At 45.0% G+C, this 7,668-nt stretch overlaps 1 long non-coding RNA gene across 1 annotated transcript, besides 1 other annotated feature; it reads left to right on the top strand.

Moving 5' to 3' along the window:
- Positions 1 to 583: 583 nt before the first annotated feature.
- LOC107985151 (uncharacterized) lies at positions 584 to 5,635 on the top strand. Its single transcript, XR_001753506.1, has 3 exons — positions 584 to 988; positions 4,161 to 4,281; positions 5,473 to 5,635. It is a non-coding gene; the product is annotated as an uncharacterized LOC107985151 (long non-coding RNA).
- Positions 2,744 to 3,245: an enhancer, noted in NCBI's record as "NANOG hESC enhancer chr18:74370664-74371165 (GRCh37/hg19 assembly coordinates)". NCBI's record gives its function as "activates a minimal SCP1, AML or CMV promoter by ChIP-STARR-seq in primed H9 embryonic stem cells {active_cell/tissue: H9 hESC(primed)}" and the evidence as "EXISTENCE:reporter gene assay evidence [ECO:0000049][PMID:30033119]".
- Positions 5,636 to 7,668: the final 2,033 nt, after the last annotated feature.

The raw sequence follows: 7,668 nt of genomic DNA, 5'->3' as shown, positions 1-7,668 counted from the left end.
AAAAAAAAATTGTAAAGATGGGATCTGACTATGTTTCACAGACTGGTCTTGAACTCCTGGGCTCAAGAGATCCTCCCACCTCTGCCTCCCTAAGTGCTGAGATTACAGGTTTGAGCCACGGCCTCTGGTTCCCTGTGTTCTTAAGCTTTGAAGTGGGGCCTTGGGTTACACGACTCCATTTGCCCTTCAGGAACATTTGCCGGTTCCTTCCTAGCATCTTCCACCCTTCTAGTTGATGGCCAATTGAGTATCTGATTATTTGTTCCAGGATCTTTCCAAGTATTGATTCAAAGGTGAAGAGTCTGTAACTGGGTACTAGGTCATCTCTTTTAAACAATGGCCACAGTGTCTCCTTTGAAAATCCTCCGGAGACTCTCTTTGTCCTCTGGGACTTCTCCTGTGACTGCCTGTGTCCCACAGTGACTGATGTGTGCCAATGTGTAAAATGGCCAGGAGTGTAAAACATCAGACTTCCCCAGAGCAAACGCACCCTTTGCAAAGTGATTATTTGGTTATTCGTCTTCCTCTATTAATTTGCTTTTCCACCCGTGCATCTATATGGAGGTTATGCAAGTTTGATGTTCACAGAAGCATTCTTCAGCAAAGATAATTAATTCAAACATTAAAAATATATACATTCTGTTGTTTTGCTTTCCTCTTTCAGAAAGGGAGTTTTAAAAACCTTTTTCCTTCACCTAGTAGACCTGGCAGTATATGAGTGTTTGTTATTTCTCCTGTGCTGTGGAGTCCTCATACGCTTTGCCACCTTACAGCTGCACCACTCGCGAAGACCCTGTTTTTGTGATCTAGCTGAATTGTGACTTCAGGAAGATGAAGTTTGGATGTTGCCGTTCTTGTGGCAAACACAGGTGACACACCAATACAGGGGGCTGGATGCTGGTCCCCCCTGGGCATGGCGTGAATTCTTCAGAGTATGGATGTACGCAGTGTACGGGTGAGGGGTGTCCCTGTTCGTGTCCCTAAAGAGGTAAGCTGACTCCAGATGGCCTGTTCCAACTCTGTCCCCAGCCCCTCCAGGGCGGGGCCCCACCTGCCTGAGGCTGTTCACCCCCAGCCTCTTGCTGCAACAAGCCCCTCGTGCTGCCAGGCCTTCTTGGAAGAGGCACCAACCATTCCTGGCTACTTCCCAAGGAGGCCAACTGGTGAAGGAAAATGAACCATCCTCACAGTGGAGACAGTGATGGCAGCTGGTACAGACATCCTCTGCCTGCTCCTCCTCCCCATTCTGGTCTCTCCCTCCAAATACAACTGGATTGGCTGGGCCAGCATCTCCCTGGGGATTGGGACCCCTCTCTCCTATGAAAACAGCTCTAATCACTGTGAGTCCCCATTTGGTGTGCACCCCATGAACTTGGTTTTGGGAGAGACACCTGATTGGGAGCCATAGCTGTGTCTACTGCACCTAGGACCCACAGCCCCATCCCTTTGCCTTATCTTCGCCCCTCTTTGTGTTCTTGTAGACAGATGGGAAGGGAGATGGGGCGGGGGGCAGATGGAGTGTTTGGAGGGGCAGATCAGCCTGGACTGATCGCTCCCTGGACCTGATGAGCAGCTGAAGTCACTCCTGGACCCTCCCACTGTTACTGTTATCTGTGGGACCCTGTTTCCCAGGGTTGGGGCCTTCCTCTTCTCCTCCAGAAGGTAGGCATCCTTCAGTAGCATCCTAAGAAGGGTGCAGAGGGGCACGGTTCTGAGGGCCCGGCAGGACTACACGTCTTTATTTTACCTTCATGTTTTATGGTTTGATATAAAACTACAGTTTTACTATAGCTTTCCACTTAGCATTTCCCTATTTACTTTTTATTTTTATCAAAGAAAATGTCCAATAGAGCCAGACCCTCCTCCAGGCCGTTCTTTTGGTGTTGACCACTGACCCGATCCATTTACGTCATCTGTGTGTACCGGCAACGCTGGCTTCATTCACTTTCTCCTATTGTTGCCTTGTTGTTTTTGGCTGGTTTTCACAGTAGGTCCTAAAATTTCTATTTTTGAAACTCTAAACATATATAAAAAAAAGAGAGAGTAGCATAATGGACCCCTGTGAACACGCACCATGCAGCCTCAACAAAGATCAACTCCTGGGCAGCTGTGTCTCCCAGGCTGCAATACAGGCCACAGTGACCATATTGAAGGCACTGCGGCATCTTCCAGCCTCCCTGCGACTGAGCAACTCACTTCCATTCTAATGCCTTTTCACCTGGGAGCTGCTTGTTTGTTGTTCCCATTTTAAAGCCCTCAAGATCATCTATTGAATGATGGCGTCTTGGAATTCCATGACGACAGACCTGTGATCATGTCTCCTTTCATTCTGCTGGTCCTTGGCAGGTCTCTTACATTTGGGCACTTGTTAGTTCTGTGAACTTTTACTTGACTTCATCCTTCAGACCTTCTACAGAATTTTTTTTTTTTGAGACGGAGTCTCGCTCTGTCGCCATGCTGGAGTGCAGTGTCGCGATCTCAGCTCACTGCAACCTCTGCCCCCTGGGTTCAAGCTATTCTCCTGTCTCAGCCTCCTGAGTAGCTGGGACTACAGGTGCCCGCCACCACGCCCAGCTAATTTTTGTATTTTTAGTAGAGATGGGGTTTCCCCATGTTGGCCAGGATGATCTCGATCTCTTGACCTTGTAATCCACCCGCCTCAGCCTCCCAAAGTGCTGGGATTACAGGCGTGAGCCACTGCGCCTGGCCAGAAATTTTGTTTTATTTTAGTTGTCATTCCTACAAATTCCAGGAGCTGTGATTTAGTCTCTGTCTGCGTGCACGTGTGCGTTCATCTTGCTGTTTTATGAATGCAGCATTTGCCTAAGGATGTTAATATAGATTTTTTAAAAGTTTTTTTCTGCTCTCTTTATAGACTGCTTCCTCTATGTTAATTTTTGTAACTTTCATTATTTTTTTTAAATCAAATCTTTTGTGGTGCTAGACTGTCCTTTCACATTGACGACCAAGGTACTAAAAACCAGACTGAGTCACGGCAGGGCCTGTGGGCTAGGGGCATCATTCATTTCCCCTGTCGGGGGAAGGCCGCCCACCCATGGCTTCTGATTGTCTGGGAGCAGGTGGTCAGGGGCTCCTGCACTGAGGAAACTCTTCCTGGGCCCCCTGCATGGAGCGCCCCCACCCCTGTGAGATGGAGAAGGAGGGCAAGAGCTCCCCCTGTGGCCCAGCTATGGAAGGAGACCCTTTTTGTTGGGCTCCTTGTGGTAAACGACCTCTTCCTGTCCACATCTTCAGCTGTAGACACGTTCCCTGTACTTTACCACCTCTCATCTGTTCCTGCTTTCTGTACCTTGTTGAAATATCTCACTGGCTGCTGTTTTTCCTCTCATTTTCTTTGTTATTATGAATAATATCTTTAAAACTATTATGCAGAGCTTTAGGTAAAAGAGAAGATAAAATCCATCTGGTCAATCCACTGTGTTAAATAGAACATATATTTCTGAAAGTTCTTTTTCTTTCTTTTTCTGATTTCAGTTTTCTTCCCTTTATATATTGTGTCTTTTTTTTTTTGCCACTCATTCCTCTAACCCATCTACCTCCAAGAGACTGATTTCTAAATCTCTCATGATCTCTTCCCTGTTAGAGATCAGATGAGCAACAGACCTTGTTCTGTCTGATTCCTCCAACGTTCTAAGGGAGGAAGTTCTCTCCAGTGTAGACCAAAAATCGACTTGGTGGTCTGTGGTCAGCTGAATTGTTTTTCCAGAATGTAACAGGAGTTTCATGCCCCATCATAACCAGATGTAGCTGAAAGCTTTGGTGAGTTGACCAGAAAAGGTTTCCTCGAGCTCTTCATCATGTGGGCATCTATATATAGACTCTACTGCGATGTCGCCCTCGATCTTAATCCGCCTTGCACAGTCTAGTGAGTGGCTTCAGGTTTCCTGAGAGATTTTATTCAGCGGATCATGGTGTTTCTCCACACGGATGCAGTGTTCCCTGCCATGATACAATGTGAGAATGTGAGAGATTTTTTGCCCTGCAAGGAAAGAACTGAATTTCTCATTAAGTTGAAGAAATTTTTATGATCATTGAATTATTAAGCTCTGGTCTTTTCAGAAAGCTACCAAGGGAAGGGAAGGAAAAAAATAAATAATAAATGGTGTTTTTTGTGCAAAGTTTACATTTTTTTTTTCCAGGGAACAAGAAGGACGCTGATAAAACTCCAGATGGTTTGCTCATCCACGTCTACTCCACACATTTCTCCTAGATGGCGGCACCTCCTTTCCATCCTGACTTGGAGGGGCTTCATTTCAGACGGTCCGTGATTCACATTTTCTTACAGTACTTTGAGCTCTTGAAAGCCCTGGTAGAGATCATTATCATTTCCTGCTTTAGCCTGGCTCCTGAGCTGTGGTGGCTGCATTTCTTTGGTCCTGTTTTTTTATGAGCCTCACCCTTTGAGTACCAATAAAGGCTGCAGTAAAGGGACTGATCCAGACCCAGATAACTGCATGGCCAGAACAAAGTGCCCCAGCCTAAGCACCATGACAATAAATGGAGCTACATTGAAGCAAAAAGTTCCAGAGAAATGGGAAGAGAGGTGCCACAAGAGAGAGCAGGACTCTTAATCTTTTGCAACTAAAAGTTAACTGTTACTTCCACTACTTCAATTTGGAGCCTATTTGAAGGAGCCGTTGACATATGCTTTTATACAAATTTGTTGATCTGTATTTTCCTATATTTACCTTATGCACTCCTCAGTCATAACACTGCTAGAATGTCCTTTGTGTAATTTAAAAAGCGACAATGGAATTTTTTGAAGTATGCAGGGGGAGAAGTGAAAAGAAGATGTCCACAGAGCAGGATGCTCCTTATCCTGGCCCCCATCTGTCATCAGGGGCACTGGGAACAGTCTCTGTTTTTCCTAGGAGCAGCGATCACTTAAACTAATTTACAAAGTAAGCTGATTTATGCCTCTTAACAGTTACTGAGTGCTTAACATTATAGGAAATACAGTCTAGGTCTAAATTACTTACAAGGGATGTTTCAAAAAGTAGTCCTAAAAATTATTCAATCACCAAGAAATTATCCTTCATATAAATGTGTCAGGAGCAGTATGCATTGACATTTTGAGTAAATATTTCAGTTTTATGTCGAATGTATACTCAGTTGCTTCTGAAAAATAGATTGTAAGCAAGCAGATGGGGAAAATATTTCAAAATGGAATTTAAGAGGATCAATTGTATTTAGAATCAGTTGTATTAGAAATACAGCATAATAAGAGGTATCTTTCTCGGAGCTGTAGGTATTGTTATAACCTGGGATTTGTTTCCTGTACATCTGGATATAGATCATTATGTAAATAAAAGAAATGCCTTTTCAATATTCAAAAGTGTTTTTTTTCTTTTTGAAGCACAGCTAGTTATGTTTTGTTAATAAGGGAACATTAAATCTTTAATTTATTCCAAATTTTACTCACGATACTCAAACTGCTCTCACTCATTTTAGGTTGAGACTTTTCCAAGCCAGGATTGGGCTGATGCAGGGGACCTCCTCCGAGCAAGAGGGTGCATGCCATGGATGACAAAGGCAGGAGCTGCTCAGTCCAAACCCGGGTCCCCCAACCACCGTCTAGTGGACGTGTAACATCGGGCAAGTGATGCAGCTTTCCTCTCGCATTTTCCTATAAAATGGAGCTAAATATAGTCCCTACCTTATAGGGTTCTTATGAGGATTAAGTGAGTTAATGTGGAAAAATCTCTCACGACAGCAATTGGTTATTGGTGTCATATAAGGGGAAACATGGACTTCCTCAGATAATGCCAACGATTGACCCTTTCCTGCTGGGTATGTCCAGACAGTAAAACTCCTCTGTGCTTCAGAAAGTAAAGAACTGGTTCCATAGATGTGGGACATGAGCAGGGGTGGTGCTGTTGGAAATTTTGCTTTTTTGTTTAATGTGAACAATACCATTTGTTCTTGAGTGGTTTTGCCCAGGTATTATAGGCAAGGGGTCTTTGAAAAATGAATTTATGGCCAGAAGTGGCTGTATCTTCTCAAGCAAAGCCCTCGGTGTTTACTGATACCATCAGTAACTGAAGGCTATTCTGGTTAGGGCTGAAATTCTTTTCCTTTTACAGAAGTTGGAGACACCAGATAAAAGACACTAAAAAGTTATAAAGTAGATTTAGTGTTGAGTACGTTCCAGCATTCTCCATTAATTGTGTGGTTTCAAATAGCAAAGGGCTACCTCCTCTTGAAGACAACTCATGAGAGGATCATGGGGAGGAGATGGGTCCTGGAGGACCAGGAGCAGGGAGACACAGCCATTTCTGGGAAGAGCCCGTGGAAAGGGCATCCAGCCAGACTCCAGATCCCTCGTTTTTCCTTTGGCCAACTTCATTGCATCAACTTGTAGTTGATGTACTACTAGCAAATTGTAACAGTGTGTAGACTACTTAATAGGCGATCAAGTGGACCAAGAGGAAAAGTCGGACCTTCCTGGGGCACACATGCAGGTAACATGGAAACTGTAGTCACTTCCTGGTGCCACCTCTTAGCCAGGCGGTGTCCTTAGTGATATTGCTTATGCCTTATTCTCGCCCTGTGTGGTTACGATCCTCCACTGCACAGGTAATGAACATGAGGCACTGAAGGTAACCTGCCCAGTGTCCCACAAGGCTGTGGTGTGAATGTTTACATCACCCAAAGCATTGAAATCCTAACTCCCAAGGTGGTGGTATTTGGAGATGGGGCATTTGGGAGCAGATAAGGTCATGAGGCTGAAGCTCTCATAGATGGAATTAGTGCCTTATAAAAGAGGCCCCAAGAGAGACTGCTTGTCTGTCCCTTCCACTGCGTGAGAACACAGCAATAAGGTACCATCCACGAACCAGAAAATGGGTCTTCAACAGACCCCAAATCTGCCTTGACTGTGGACTTGCCAGCCTCTAGAACTGTGAGAAATACAGTTTTGTTGCTAATGAGCCACCCAGCCTATGGTACTTTGCTATAACAGCCCAAACAGACTGAGACACAGTGAGTGGACCCTGTGACGCCAGAGTCTGTCCCTTGGCCACCACTGTTGAAGGCCAAAAGGGTGAGGGTCGTGATCAACTCAGTGCACCACTGGAGGCCATATGGGTAAACAGCAAACTGTTCTCATGAAAGCAGGATGTTGGCAAACTGACAAACTGCATCTGCAGCCCAGAAGGAATGCTGAGGGCAGTCACAACCCAGGCACAAGTGTTGCTTGGGATTAGACGCATCTGGAGCCTGTTAGCAATAATGTGAACCTGTGATCAATTAAGCAGCTGACCAGTCTCACCTCCTCCTCCCTGTTCTTTCTACCCAATAAATACAAAGGGCTGGAGAAGCTCAGGGCTGCTGCCTTTGCTCACTAGAAGCGGGGAGCTCTCTTCTTCCCCTGGCCCTTTCCTTTAAAACAGTTTCTTTTGTCTTAAGTTTTCATTTCTATGTTCATCCCCCTTCATTCAGTCTCATAATGACGGTCTCAAGTAGTAACAGTAGTAATTGTCATAATGATGGTCTCAAGTAGTAAGAGTAGCAATTGTCATAATGACAGTCTCAAGTAGTAACAGTAGTAACTGTGGTAATGACAGTCTCAAGTGGTAACCGTGGCAGTCTGTCACACACCACCTGTCTTTCTTCCTAACTGCTCAGTACCTGGCTCCCTGGTGCACT

The sequence above is a fragment of the Homo sapiens genome, chromosome 18, assembly GCF_000001405.40.
Source record: "Homo sapiens chromosome 18, GRCh38.p14 Primary Assembly".
In the NCBI taxonomy this organism is placed as follows: domain Eukaryota; kingdom Metazoa; phylum Chordata; class Mammalia; order Primates; family Hominidae; genus Homo; species Homo sapiens.
Note: the sequence above shows the minus strand (reverse complement) of the source record. Positions and strands in the feature narration are given on the sequence as shown.